Source organism: Homo sapiens, chromosome 16 (assembly GCF_000001405.40).
Source record: "Homo sapiens chromosome 16, GRCh38.p14 Primary Assembly".
Taxonomy (NCBI): domain Eukaryota; kingdom Metazoa; phylum Chordata; class Mammalia; order Primates; family Hominidae; genus Homo; species Homo sapiens.
The window spans coordinates 71050772-71066745 of record NC_000016.10 but is presented as its reverse complement, the minus strand read 5'-3'; the positions used below and the strand labels follow the sequence as shown (position 1 = coordinate 71066745).

Genomic DNA, 15974 nt, shown 5'->3' with positions numbered 1-15974 from the left:
TTTGAGAGAGGCAGCTGGGTTAAAATCCTGGCTCAGCCATTTGTTGACTGTGTCCTTTTGACCAAGCTACAGTCATTGCAGTACTGCTGATGAGGGTGGTGGTGTCATCGACTAATGATGATGTGATCCCAAATAAAATCCTGGGGCCACACTCTTCCCAAAGCAATCAGTGTCCAGATCTGGGACTTTAAGTTGTATGTATGCAAATGCTATGTATAGGAAATAGAGAAAATGACTTAGGAAAACTGATAATCATGCTAATATGTCAATCTCTGGAATTCTGATCTCTTGTGAATCTTAGGAAGACATACACTTTAAAGATGGGGCAGATGTGCTGGTTGGTGGGGAGTTAGTAACTGACACTATTTCACGTGTCTTGGGCTTGGATGAAGATAAATAGCAGTGCAGAAACAACTTAAATTAGGGTTCCCACTGTGACCTACTTAGTATTCCTTCAAGACCTATTTTTTCCTTTGTTTACAAACAGTAAAAACCCTAATGTGGTCCTTTCTATGCCCAGATTTGCCTTTCAGTCTAGTCCTGCATTTCTTGTCTATGCAGGCTTATTCAGATACTTTCTAGCCCCTTTCCCTACAGCTATCGATAGGAAATTCTAAATTAAAAAAAAAAAAGGTCTAAAGAGGCTATGAGTTTTCTACTTATATTCTGTGACCCAAGTCAAGTAGTATAAGCCCTCTCAGTCACAGTATTTCAGGTAGTAAAGGATTAGCTTTAAGAAAGTCACTGGGTCAACAGACAACTTCCATTCCAGCTAGAAATGAACACTCATGCAAAATCACAAACTTTGCGGTTAAAGAAAGCCTCTTTCATGTCCTTATTTTTGGTGTAATCTGTAGGAACTACTCACTGACTCTTAACAGAAGAATTGCTTTTAGAACTGTAGCCTCAAGTAACTCTCTCCTGAGAGCCAGCAGTGACAGCCTGCCATGATTCTGCCACAGGCTCACTCCCTCTTACTGGGCACTTACCTGGTGCTGGGCTATGCCCTTCCAGCACCCTAAGAAGAGTTTATAATGCCAATATCAATCCCTAGAATTATCCTCATTTTACCTATGAGAGAAATGGGACTCTGAGACAGAAAGCATCTTGCCCAAGGTTACACAGGTTGTACTTAGTAAGGTCAGTCTTTGAAGCTGGCTCTGCAAATTCAAAAGCTGGTACTCTTCACCATTGCACTATACTGAAGCAATGGCAAAGGGTAGGATAGACATTGAGAGTCACAGACGGCAAATAAAATCCAAGTCACCTAATAATAGACCAATGGTAAACACAGGGCTTCAACTCCCCTCTTTTCTGCATACAACCCTCCCTCCCTCTCCCCCCACCTCACCCCCGCCATGTCGGCACAGTGACAACCCCGTCACAGTGCCAGTTCTGGACCAAGCAGCCACCTGAGCCTCTGCATCCAAGACAGCTGTTCTGCATAGGAATTAGCATTATTATTGTTATTTAGATGATGTGAGCTGTCGCTAGTCCTTGGGGGGCTTTCTGACTGGTCCAAAGTGTCACAGCTAGTTAGGACCACATGCTGGTGGCATTGGCCCTGTTTGGCATGGAAACAGATTCACTACCCTATGGATCTTGCGCCATGGGGACCCCTTGCCCAAAGAAGGCCAAATATATAAAACAATGGAAATGTGAGTCATTACCCACCAGACAGCTCTTCAAGGAGTTCTGCTTCTAGTCCTTTTTTGATTAAAAAGTGGTGACTGGGGGCCAAGAGACAGGGAAGAGAGGAGGAGAGAAGCTTTGAAAGTGACTAATGTGGTTATTAGAGAAAAACTACTATGTGACACTGACAAATGTATCTCGCTTGGGGCTCTGCGTTTTCTGTATGTAAACAAGCTCTCTGTTTTGAATTGTGTGATGGGCTCCTCCGAGCAGGTGTGTTGTACCTGCCCTCCACCTGGTCAATACAGAGGTGGACTTTGGGCACTGCTTCCTGAAGTACCCGTATGAGAAAACACTCCAGCTTGCCAATCAAGATGACCTCCCAGGATTCTATGAGGTCCAGCCTCAGGTGAGTTCCTTTCTCCTTCTTCAGTATTAATTATTCTTCCATTGAGTTCCCTTGATGAGAAAGAGAAATCCCTCTGAAGTGCCACATTCCTGAACACATGACCTTAAGTAATGCTGATTTTTAACCCTTAGATAGTCTAAGGATCGGGTTATAAAGTCACAGTTGGATTGCTAGCTGCATGCCTGAGCAGCTGCAGGTGTAAATCGTTGTTAATTTCCCAGAGAAATTACCCTTGATAAACAAGGGAAAGTGTCAATTAAGCCAACATGCAGAATTGCATCTGCAAATAATTGCCTGTGAACTAACCATGCATGGGAAATGAGCTAGGAGTTTTCATTATGTCCATGGCTGTGAGTTGAATGGCATCAGTAAGTAATGCAATATTTATAAGTAGATTTGTTGGACCAGAAAGCTAGAGACAATACAGGAATAAGAAAGGAGGAATTATCTCTTCATGTTTTATGAAATGTGTCTGTCCATATGCCACTACACCCAGCTAAGTGGGAGACTAAGGAGTTAAACACAGATGGATAAACAATTTTTTAAAAATCTGTACAGATTAGAGTAATGGAAGGTTACTACTGAGATGCAGTTTACCAAGAATGCATTTGGGTATAAAACTCAGTTATAGAATTACAATATTCTAACTAAAATATATGCAAAAATGTCATATGGGGGTTTATTTGGCTACAAGATCAATGGAAGTTAAAACAGCAATATGGAGGCCACAGAACCAAGGCAAGTTTAGGCTGCCGCAGAGAATTACCACCTTTAGGTAAAGGAAGGTGATAGCTGCTGGTCAGAACACAGCCAGAATTTTGTCTTCAGATGTTGTCATTGTATTTTTCTAATGGAAACTTGAAGACGAAAAAGCACCATGTTCGCAGTAACCAAAATGGCAATCCATGGCATCTGCAAATCCAATCATATGTGTGTTTAATCTGAAACAGAATAGAATTAGCTAGGATAACACAGCTACCTTTCACAAGTCACGGGGCTGTTACGTAAGAGAGAAATAGAATGGTTCTATGGGTTTCTCTGAGACAGAACTAGAAGCCAAGGGTTAGGGTGACAGGAGACAAGGTCTAACACTCAGATGCTCCACAGCAGGCCAGGCCAGCCCTGCACAGTGCATGATCATTTCAAGAACTCAGAGTGGAGTGTGCATCTGGGGTCAGGGGAAGTTGTTTCTGCACAGCAGGACTGGGCATAGGATGAGGCACTTGCCTTGGGCACAAAATTTAAGGGGAAGCCAAACACTCAAGATACTTAGTATTTCCATTACATATTGTAAGAAATCAAAATTAATTCCAAAAAATCCATAATAAACAAGATACCAAAACCTAGGTAAAGAGATCAGTCCGACCTCAGGCTGTCATAAGGCTCGGCGGAGCACTGCGGCACAGGGAGGAGTTAGACTGGGCCATGTTAGGCCAGACCAGATGCAGAGAGACTGTGGCGTACCCCAGGCAGGTGACACCTGCATGCTCTGTCGTCCTCCCCAGCAGCAGAGGCTCTGAGAAATGGTTCCCAGAGTTATATAGTAGCATTTTAAAAATTTTATTTGCGTTCTTGATGCATAAAAGCTGGTAATATGGTGCAGAACAGGGTTCTGAGAAACACAAATTGGTCAATACTGGACAGTTGTTCATTCATTCATTCATTCCTCACTTTAAAAACTGAGCATATGCTTTGGGTCAGAAAGTGGTCATGTAGAGAGGAGAGGCCCAGCTGTAAGCTAAGAAGTTGTCAGCGGGAGATGCAGGTGGCATGGTGCTGTCCAGTGCATGCTGTGGAAAAGGACTGCACAGGATGCTCCCTGGGGACAGAGGAAAGGTTCCCACCCTAGGGCCCTTGAGGAAGAGAGGGAGAATTCAGGATGAGTGTGCCAGATGGGTTGATGGGTATGGGCGTTCTAGGAGGAGTCACCACAAGTGCAAAGGACTGGAGGTCAGAAGCAGCATCATGGATTCAGGAAACACCAGCAGCCTCTATTGATGGAGCACAAAGGGCAAGGGAGTGGGGATGATGCGTGAGGGTGCAGAGGGCCAGGTTAAGGAACTTGGAAAGTGGAAAGTGGACCTTTTCCTTTTCCTAAGGAAAGTGGAAAGCTGTTGCCCTGAACTTATTTGAGTTGCGGATAATTCTGCATCTTGCTGTGCTGGGCACTTTGAATTTTGGGCCTCACGCACATCCCACTTAACCAAACTTCCTTTTGGCCGAATTGGGGTGCTCATCCCTATTTACTTGCTTGAATAATAAGACATTTCTAAAACACCTCTACGGACTCAGGAAAACACTTCAAAATAAGCAAATACGCTATTTGTTCCATGCTGTGCTGTCCTTACCCCTCTGGTTTTCTCTCCCCCAGGTGTGTGAGGAGGTGCCTACTGTGCTGTTTTCCAGCCCCACCCCCAGCGGGGTCATCTCCCCAAGCAGCACCATCCACATACCACTGGTCCTGGAGACCCAGGTCACTGGAGAACACAGATCCACGGTTTACATCTCAATCTTTGGGAGCCAGGACCCCCCTTTGGTGAGAGTCCATTTTCAGAACTGCAATTGAAATTGCTGTGCTTCTTCTCAAACATTTTGAGCTTTCTCATTTGAGGCCCACACCATATTCACATACACCCCAGTTGCTTGGAGTTGTAGGGTTTTATGTTTTTACTCTGCAATGGTAAAATACCGGTGCTATGTGACTTTACAGAATCTGTTTATGGCTACATCTAACAGAAGCGGTGTTTTATAGCAATCATCCTTAAACCTAACAGGATACCAGGAGTTTCTCTCTCTCTCTCTCTCTCTGACACACACACACACACACACACACACACACACACTGTCACACATGCCTGACCCCTCTCCAGTCCTTTGAAATCAGAAACTCTGAGGGGAGGAAGCCAGCACATCTGTACGGGAGCCAGCACATCTGTATTTTTAATAAGCTCCTTGGTTGTTCCTGGTGCAAAGCTGGGTTTGGGTATCACTGGTTTGTCACCTGTAGGCTGGGAGATCAGTTTCCTTCACTGCTCACCTGAGCTTTTCTTGTATATTAACTTGACTCATGGCTCATATTAGCCTACTCAAGCTAATGTGCCATCAGCCTACTCAAGCTGTTAAGAGAAATAGTCTCTCTCCAAGAGGAAGAGGAAGAGGAAGAGGGATTCATGGAAAGCTCTCCACTGCTTAGGCTGAGTTGAAGGATAAACATCGAATCCTACAGGAGGTTGCCCAACAGGCTCTGTATTCCTAGACATGTGGTTTACTTGGGAACTAGTGATGTCACCTTACGTTTCTTTGTTGTGACTCTGATTGCTTAGACAGCGTAAAACACTAGGATTTTGCTTTTATCTCTTCCATATAAGATGCCGTAAATAAGCCACTTAACTTATAAAACAGCATCACCAAGGCAGGCCAACCCCAAAACATGCCACCAGTTCAGGTCCCCCACGAGGCTCACTGTGCTGCTGTCCTACCCCCCTGCACAGATGCAGCCCATGAGAGGGTAGCTTGCTGAGCAGCCAGAACTTTGTGAAAGAAAAGGGCCACCTTCCTCAGGCAGACACAGTGCCTGGCTCCGGGGACAGGAAGAAGAGAGTAGAGCAAAGTGGATTTCAATCTCCAACCCTCACAACTATGTGCAGTGGCCCTGCCCTGCCACACCACTTGTAAAGCAACAGAACTGGAACTCAAACCCAGCCACATCTGACTTTGAAGTGCTGACCCTTAACCCCGTACTAAGTGTCATTGAGGCTGGAGTGCTGTGTGGGATGGAGGGGACCCAGATTCTGGTTTCCCCTCAATGCATGGCTCTGGGCTGACCTGGGGAAGCTGCTCATTCTTTCCGGGGAGGAAATCCAGGCTGGATTCACAGGTCTGACCAGCATGGCCCTCGCTGTGTTCCCGAGACCACAGCACACCAGTGGGAAGGGGTGCCAGTTCTCATAAGCATCCTCTTTTGCCCTTGCTTTTTATTGAAGGAATGGCTAAAAGTGGCTAGCCATTTCCAGCTGTTCCTGTGTTCTTTCTCTCTGGCGGAACTCAGGTATGTCACTTAAAGAGCGCTGGAGAAGGCCCAGTTATCTACGTCCATCCCAATCAAGTGGACTTCGGGAATATCTACGTCCTAAAAGACTCTTCCAGGATTCTCAACCTATGCAACCAGTCCTTCATTCCCGCATTTTTCCAGGCACACATGGTAAGTCATGGGACATGATGAAACACAGCTTTGGCTTATAGGCAATGGCCCTATTTTTGCAACATGTCTTTGAAAATGATCACCAGAAGCAGAGATTTGCATGGTTATGTTGTTGTATTAAACCACGTCATTCCCATCCCCAGTTCTTCTTTATTATAATAAATTAACATAATAATGTATGCATCAATTAATAATTTTGTTGATTAAGGGATGCCTTAGCTCAAGGGATGTCTATTATAATACTTTTTGTTGATTAAGAAACACAGTGTGCATGTCTTTTGGTAAACAGGCAAGTACAGTCAATAGAATCCCAGTTCAGGAAGATGCTTCGGAGGTCAACAAGCTCCCCTACTGAACTGTACCTAAGCCCAGCCCCAGCCCTCAAAAAAACACTTTTTAGATGTCTCTTTAACTAGAAGTGCTCCCTTTAATTTGAGTCCTTTTGGCTATACATATGTTGGTGTGTTTATTCTATTTTTTTCCTCTCTTCCTTCTAGCAATATTTTAAGGTAGTTTGTGAGGATGTCTGAAATACAGGAGAGTATTCACCAAAAACAGAAATTAAAGTGAACAGCAAAGACAGATACAAAATAGATGTAAAATGGTTTTAGAAATGGATTTGTCTCATTTCTATGTACAGTTGACCCTTGAACAATGTGAGGATTAGGGACACCAAACCCCCATGCGGTTGAAAATTCACATATAACTTTTTTTTAAACTTTTATTTTAGTTTCAGGAGGTACATGTGCAGGTTTGTTACACGGGTAAATTGTATGTCACAGGTTTGGTGTGCAGATTATTTTATCACACAGGTAATAAGCATAGTATCCAACAGGTAGTTTTTATATTCTCTCTTCCTCCCATCCTTCACCCTCAAGTAGGCCCCAGTGTCTCTTGTTCCCTTCTTTGTGTGACATTTGGTTTTCTGTTCCTGTGTTAATTTGCTTAGGATAATGGCCTCCAGCTCCATCCATGTTGCTGCAAAGGACATGATTTCATTCCAGACACATAGACCAATGCAACAGAATAGAGAGCCCAGAAATAATGCCACACAGCTTACAACCATCTTATCTTTTACAAAGTTGACAAAAGCAATGGGGAAAAGATTCTCTAGTCAATAAATGGCATTTGCATAACTGGCTAGTCATATGCAGGAGATTGAAACTAGACCCCTTCCTCACACCATATGCAAAAATAAGATGGATGAAAGACTTACATGTAAAACCTAAAACTATAAAAATCCTGGAAGATAACCTAGAAAATACCATTCTGCACATGGACCCTAGCAAAGATTTTATGACAAAGATTCTAAAAGAAACTACAACAAAAACAAAAATTGACAAATGGGTCCTAATTAAACTAAAGAGCTTCAGCACAGCAAAAGAAACATACAACTTTTGACCTCTCAAAAACTTATCTGCTAACAGCCTACTGTTGACCAGAAGCCTTTCCAATAACAGTCGATTAACGCATATTTTCTATGTTATATGTATCACATACTGTATCTTACAATAAAGTAAGCTAGAGAAAAGAAATGTTATTAAGAAAATCATAAGGAAGCAAAAACATACTTAGTTATTAAGTGCAGGTAATCATCATAAAGATCTTCATCCTCATCATCTTCACATTAAGTAGGCTGAGGAGGAGGAGGGAGAGAAGGGGTTGATCTTACTGTCCCATCGGTGGCAGAGGTGGAAGAAAATCCACATAAAAGTGGACTGATGCCGTTCAAACTCATGTTGTTCAAGGGTCAACTGTATTTCATAATGACATTTAGACCTGCTAGTCTTCTATAAGCTAATTTTTATTTTATTTTTGCACAAGAACAGACATGAAATGGTGGGGGTTTTGTAGAGTTTAGGAATTTCTTTTTTTTTTTTTTTTAATTTTATTTATTTATTTATTTTTTTATTATACTTTAAGTTTTAGGGTACATGTGCACATTGTGCAGGTTAGTTACATATGTATACATGTGCCATGCTGGTGCACTGCACCCACTAACTCGTCATCTAGCATTAGGTATATCTCCCAATGCTATCCCTCCCCCCTCCCCCCACCCCACCACAGTCCCCAGAGTGTGATGTTCCCCTTCCTGTGTCCATGTGATCTCATTGTTCAATTCCCACCTATGAGTGAGAATATGTGCTGTTTGGTTTTTTGTTCTTGCGATAGTTTACTGAGAATGATGATTTCCAATTTCATCCATGTCCCTACAAAGGACATGAACTCATCATTTTTTATGGCTGCATAGTATTCCATGGTGTATATGTGCCACATTTTCTTAATCCAGTCTATCATTGTTGGACATTTGGGTTGGTTCCAAGTCTTTGCTATTGTGAATAATGCCGCAATAAACATACATGTGCATGTGTCTTTATAGCAGCATGATTTATAGTCCTTTGGGTATATACCCAGTAATGGGATGGCTGGGTCAAATGGTATTTCTAGTTCTAGATCCCTGAGGAATCGCCACACTGACTTCCACAATGGTTGAACTAGTTTACAGTCCCACCAACAGTGTAAAAGTGTTCCTATTTCTCCACATCCTCTCCAGCACCTGTTGTTTCCTGACTTTTGAATGATTGCCATTCTAACTGGTGTGAGATGGTATCTCATTGTGGTTTTGATTTGCATTTCTCTGATGGCCAGTGATGATGAGCATTTTTTCATGTGTTTTTTGGCTGCATAAATGTCTTCTTTTGAGAAGTGTCTGTTCATGTCCTTCGCCCACTTTTTGATGGGGTTGTTTTTTTCTTGTAAATTTGTTTGAGTTCATTGTAGATTCTGGATATTAGCCCTTTGTCAGATGAGTAGGTTGCGAAAATTTTCTCCCATTTTGTAGGAATTTCTAATTCAATAATTGAAAGTATTCTTAATTTTAGAAATAGTTTTCTAAATTTAAATATAAAATGTTTAATTGTATAGCCCTCTGCCTACCGTCAAATTATTGCATTTGGATGAGAACTAACATTTAGTTTCAGCATTTGTCAGATATTTCTGAATAATCAAGTATTATTAATTTCATAAAATTTAAGGAATGGCATTTTCTGCTGACTTGTGACAGCTCACCAGAGACGTTGGTCCCAGTTAGCAGCCATTTATCATCATTATTTATTTTTATTATCATTTATCTTTACTCATTATGAAGGCAGCCACATTCACATATGGTCACTGGTCTTTTTAATAGAGGTTTTCACACAACTCCAATCGTGCTCTAGCACTGTGTGGATCTCATGTAAAGAATATTGTTTCATAATGTTTAAAGAAAAATCCTATAGAAAAGACATTTTTACTAGTCTTTATCCAATTAGTTAATTGATGTGTTTGGTAGAAAGCACAGGGTACTGCTTAGGAAGTGTTGCTTCCTGGTTCAGTACCGAGTTGATGCTGGGAGAGGAAGAGTCAATCTCTGTCCAGTGAGCCGAGATCATACCACTGCACTCCAGCCTGGGTGACAGAGCGAAACTCCATCTCAAAAAAAAACAAAAGAAGAAAAGAAAAGTGGTTTCAACTTCAGGTAGTTCTCATAGGGGAAAATTAAACGCTTATTTCAGCCGAGATTTTTGTTGGATGTCCTAGTAAATATGATATGTATTAACGTTATAAAAATTGAACTATGCTAATTTGAAATTAACTACAGTGGAAGGAAACTGAAAAATTTCAACTTGACGTACAGTACCAAACCTTCAAATGCATTCTTACAGGAATTACTAAGCATTAGGAGAGAGCTTCAATTAATAGTTTATTCCCCAAGCCTATTACAAATTCAGGTGCTGGAAGTTCTTCTCTTTTCTTGTTGGATGCTGTGACAGGAGGGGCCATTCTCTGTCCTCTTTTGGCCATAGGGTGAATGTCAGCCCTTCCCAGATGTGGCACTCACCGTCAGCCATCTGTCACACTCAGCCTCATGTGCGGCCACACAGCACAGCACCACTGTGATTAGATTTACCCTTCGCAAGAAACAGCTGTTTGTTATCAGCCAGAGGGGTCAGGAGATGGGAAGCCGAAGCCTACCTCCATAGTGATATTGGAAGATAAATGACACTTAGAGCAATTTGGAATTCCTCAGAAACAAATACTATACAAAAAAATGATTTTTAAAAACACCTGGGACCTCTTCATATAGTATGGAATGAAGAAACAGTGAAGATTATATTTTTTATATTCTATTAAAACAATTTATTTTCAGTGTAAAAAAAGTTGATTAGTACAAGGAAGAATGTTCTGTGACCTGGAACAGTAGACTCTCCTTTGCTTTGGAATGCCTGCACCTGGAATATCAGCCTCCACCAACAGTTCCCAGCAGGCTGACTTCTTTGGAACAATCAAATAAGGCACCTCTGGTTTGAAGGAGTAAAAAAAAAAAAAAAAAAAAACAAATCTCAGAATGTGGGAACGGAGAATGGAAAGGCCCTGTTGGCAGGAGAATGCGCGCTCTGCTTGTATGCAGGGAGCTCTATCAGGAAGAGAGACTTTCCCCTCCCTATGAGCAGCGGAAATAAGGGTGAGGATGCAGCAGTGCCCCAGGGCCCTGGGGACCTCAGCACTGGGCTGGAGGACAGATGCCTCCTTTTAATGGGTGCCCCTTGCTAGGCAGAGGAAGTGCCTTGCTCGGCACTTGTTTGGAAGCATCTGGAATCGTTTTCTTTTTGCTCTTGGCTCTAATTCAGCCTTGGCTACCTTTAGCTCAAACCTTGGGTCCAGATGTCAGTGACACCTTGGGACTCAGATGGCACCAAGACATCTTTGTAGTGGCCTTCTGCCTCCGTGATCTGCAGAGAAAGGCCATTGTAATGAGATACTTAGAATTCCTGGATCCAGGAAACAGGAATTCAGATGCCTCATCCAAGCATCGTTCTTTTAAAACATTTATTTTTCTTCATCACTTGCCACAGCCATACACAGTGATATGGCAGCAAGGGAGAATTATTGGGCTTTCAAAGCTCCTTCAGACCCTCAGCCACTGGGTTATTTCCTCATTTAAATAGGGACCCCCTTTCTGTATGTATTTGTTGATGTGTCTGTCTCCTTTAAATGACAGTAGTCTCTGCACTGACTTTCCAGCACGTAGCAGCTGGCTTAACAATTATAATGATGGCAATATGGTGACACTAAGTTAATTCTGACTAACATCTATTTCATTCTATTTGCCACTTTTTATACAGTATTTCATTTTCTACAATTCTGTGAGAAAATACTGTTATTATTCCCATTTTAACTAGGTAGAAATAGGTTAAGTTAATTGCCACAACTTGTAAGTGGCAGGCCTGGTTCTGGCCCCAGTGGTCTGACTTTCAGATTCCTTCTCTTTTCCTCTGCGCTAATGAACCGCCTAACTTTACCCCAGCAGTGCTTATGAAAATGGACTTGGAAATGGTGAAAGGAGCACGGTTTCATGTTCATAAATGACCCTTTAAGGTAGACACACCTAGAGGAGTAGGATTTGTTAAAAGGGCAGGAGAAGAAATTAAGGAGTATTTCTGAAGTACAGAAAATGACTGTATGTACTTCATTTTATGCAGAGGGGTGTTGAAATGTACATATATAAATTATCTCCACAATGCCATTTTTCCGCCAACCAAAATGCCTTCAATTGTATATCTGAAATAAAGACACATAATTTACTTTTTCACTTTCTTTTTTATCCTTTGTAGTATAACATAGAGCATTTAGTTATGTATGTAAATGTGTGTAAAAATTCTTCACTACTACAGCTAGTAGAAGTTTAAAATTCAAAGTTGTGTCCCCTACTTTAACAAAAGAAATAGACAAACAGAAAGAAATTGGCTGGCAGGCATTTAACATCAAGGGAGATTGTCAGTGCTGGACTCTATCCATTTTCAGAGAGAGTGAAAATTGTGGCTATTACCGGAGAGCTCATTTTAAACTTCTTATAGCAACTGGTCTGTAGAAAACTGCAGCTATGCCTTGTACACTGCATCACCCCTGCATACTGGGGCTCACTGTAGATCTGGAACTCTGTCTTCTCCTTGGGGAATTGACTGTATTAGAAGATTCCATGCTACAGACATTTCTAATAGACAAACAATATGACTCCAGGGCCTTTTGACAGATGACATCATTAAGCTATTCCACCCCACAATGTGTGTGAGGAGGAGATAGAATGGGCTGTTTCTCAGGCTTCAATGAGTAGATTAGCTCTGCCCTCTAAATTGTTACATCTGTGGAGGGAAATGATGAGGAAAAAGGCATAAGGAAAAAGGAAAGAAATGTGCATGAATCAGACAGCAACTACAGTTGTTAAGCCTCTTTATATTCTTTTTGTTTCTGATGGGTTTTACAAAATAGTAGCTTTGTTTCCTAAGGTGAATTTACAATATACTATTTAGTTTTTAGCTCACAGCCCAACTCTTGTGTTAATGTGATTCATGCCTAGCACGTGCTGTGTTCTCAACACATACCCACTCCCCTTAAGGTTTGCGGTGTCCTCATTCAGCAGATCAGATAACCGAGATTCTCTTGGTTAAGAGAACTGGCCAAGGTTGCATGATAAAAGTCAGCCATCACTCAGCTTCTCTACATTTTAGTCTATTTTCTGTCTGTTCTACCATAGAAGTATTTAATTCTGGAGGTCAGACACTATGTATATGAAACATATTTTAATACAGAAAAAAATCAAGAGATATACTTGATACAAAAATTAACACATGTTAATCTTTCCCCACATTTATTTACCTCAGATCCTTTACTTAAAGAAATTATATATTAATGTTAATGTCTATGGAGTTCCATAGATTCTCCTTGCCAGTCCTATGTCCTTTCTCTCTGCCCATAGGCAACCGTATCATGAATTTGATGTGTGTCCAAACCATGTTTTTATATTTATTACATAATATATATATTATATGCATTCATAAATACTATATTGTGGCATGTTGTTGCTTCTAAAATGTATATAAATCATATCACTGTATGTGACATTCTGCAACTTATTTTTCAGGCTCAAAATTACGTTTACAACATCTATCCATGTTAATGCCTATAAATCTAGTTATTTCATTTTAATTGCTGTGGATACTCCATTTACCACTTATTATGTTTATTTCTTTGCCTACTTGTTGACAATTGGGTTATTATAACAATGCTGCAGTGAACAGAATACTTGTCTCCTTGTGTACATAGGCAAGAGTTTTTGGGTATATACAAATAGGGAGTATATCTAGGAGTGGAATTTGTTGACTCTTCAGATAGGTACATTTTCAACCTCATTAGATGTTGCCAAATTACTCTCCAAAGTGATTATATCAATGTGCCCTTCCAGGAGTGTTTGAGGTATCTATTTATGTAGTGGCTAAAACTTAGTATGGTCCAACTCAAGTTCTTGCCAGTCTGAACATGAAATGATATCTTATGTAGTTTTAATTTGTATATCCCTTATTACTATTGAGATTGAGAATTTTCATTCGGGTGTCCTCTTCTGTCAATTATCTATTATCAGTTATTTATTTATAGATGTTATATATTGTGGATACTAGCCCTTTCTTTGTAATGAAGTTTTGGATTTTTTAAAGATGTTTTTAGTTTTGATGTCAATTTTATGAATCATTTTCTTCACTGTATCCATTTTCTTTCTTTCTTTCTTTCCTTCTTTCTCTTTCTTTCTTTGTTTTGTTCTTTTCTTACTGTCTTTTTTTTTCAGGTTCTTACTCTGTCACCCAGGCTGGAATGCAGTGGCACAATCACAGCTCACTGCAGCCTTCCACCTCCCAGGTTCAAACCATCCTCCCACCTCAGCCACCAAGTAGCTGGGACTACAGGCACATGCCACCACACCCTGCTAAGTTTTGTAATTTTTGTAGAGATGGGGTTTCACCATGTTGCCTCGGCTGGTCTCAAACTCTTGGGTTCAAGTAATCCACCCGCCTCAGCCAGTGCTGGGATTACACGTGTGAGCCACTGCGGCCAGCCATAACTGTTTTCTGTGTATGGTTTAGGAAATCAATCCCTGTCCTTCTATTTGAATAGGTTTAGACTCCTATTTTTCATGTCTTTAATCCAGCTAAGTTTATTTTTTTATCTAATGCAAGTAAAGTCTATTTTTTTCATGAAGAAAGCCATTCGTCCTATCACCAGTTCTTGCATACTCTTTCCTTTTTTCATGCATTGATATTGCTTCCTCTGTTATACTTCAGACTTAATATGTGCCTAGGTGGGTTTCTGAGCTTTCTGTTATATCCCATTTATCTATCTCAGTGTCACTACCCTTACTGTCTTAAAAGCTACAGCTTAATGATAACAATAACACTTGTTATGTATCAGGCACTGTTCTAAGTCCTTTTGTATGTATTATTTTACATGATCCTCAACAGCTTGATTAGGTAGATTTTATTATTATGTCTATTTTACCAATGTGGAAAATGAGGCACAGGGATGATAAATAAGTAGCTCAAATTTGCATACCTAGAAAATAAACACTGGAGCTTTACTATGAATATCTACTGGGATTTCTTTTATATCCTTTAATTAAGGCTTATAATTTTCTTCATAAAGGTCTTACACTTCCTTTGTCATCTCTCCTAAGTTCCTTTTGGTGAATGGTACCTTTTTGCATTGAATTTTCTAACTAGATAATAATTTATAGGAGCACTATTGAATTTTCTTGTGTCAGCTTTCAATTTTGCCACACATCTCTTCATTAATTCTGTTCGTAGACTTTTATCTGCAAGCTTCCTTTTCAATCCTTAATTCTTTGCTGCTTTTTCCTGACTCATTGCATTAGATAGGCTTTTCAATGCAATGCTGAATAGTAGAGGTTAGAGTAGACGCTGTTATTCCTCACATTAATGAAAAAGCCTCAAATGTTTCTTTTTTTTGTTTTTTTTGTTTTTTTTTTTTTTGAGACAGAGTCTCGCTCTGTCGCCCAGGCTGGAGTGCAGTAGCGTGATCTCAGCTCACTGCAAGCTCCGCCTCCTGGGTTCATGCCATTCTCCTGCCTCAGCCTCCCTAGTAGCTGGGACTACAGGCGCCCGCCACCACGTCCGGCTAATATTTTGTATTTTTAGTAGAGACGGGGTCTCACCGTGTGAGCCAGGATGGTCTCGATCTCCTGACCTCGTGGTCCATCTGCCTCGGCCTCCCAAAGTGCTGGGATTACAGGTGTGAGCCACTGCGCCCGGCCAAATGTTTCATTTTAAGCATAACATCTCTTATAGGTTTTTGGTAAACGCCTATGTCACATTAAGAAAGTTCTAATCCTTTCTTATTTGTTATCATTAACACGTGCTGAAATGTAATGCATTTCCTGTGTCTATCCAGATGATTATATGATTTTTTTCCTTATCTGTTAATATAACAAATTAAATTAACAGATTCTCTGGTTGTGAATCACTTTTACATTCCTAGGATGAATCCAACCAATTATAATATACTATTATTTGAGTATGCTGTTGATATGATTGCTATCATATTATATTTTTGCATTTGTTGTTTTACTTTTTTTTATGTTGCATTTCTCTGGTTTTGATACCAAAAATACTGCATTCTTAGAATGTGAGTTATCCTTACCTCTTTTTTTAATCCTTGGAAAAGATCTTATATAATCATTATATAAAGTAGGATCTATTGCTTAATGATAAAACCATTTAGTCTCAGGATCGTGGTGTGTCTATGGATGTTAGGAGATGCATGGAAATGTATGGAAATTGTAACTAATGAATCATTTTCTATAATGACTATTCAGATTTAAATTTTTCTAGAATTTTTAATTTTATC

The 15974-nt window shown here is 40.4% G+C and overlaps 1 protein-coding gene across 4 annotated transcripts in view; it reads left to right on the top strand.

Annotated features, from left to right (window-relative positions):
- HYDIN (HYDIN axonemal central pair apparatus protein) overlaps positions 1-15974 on the top strand; it is a 428639-nt gene that overhangs the window by 163977 nt on the left and 248688 nt on the right. For all 4 annotated transcript variants that reach the window (NM_001270974.2, NM_017558.5, NM_001198543.1 and 1 more), the window contains exons 16-18: positions 1906-2041; positions 4413-4577; positions 6090-6242. In NM_001270974.2, coding sequence (NP_001257903.1) covers positions 1906-2041; positions 4413-4577; positions 6090-6242 — 454 coding nt within the window. The remainder of the gene's footprint in view (positions 1-1905; positions 2042-4412; positions 4578-6089; positions 6243-15974) is intronic.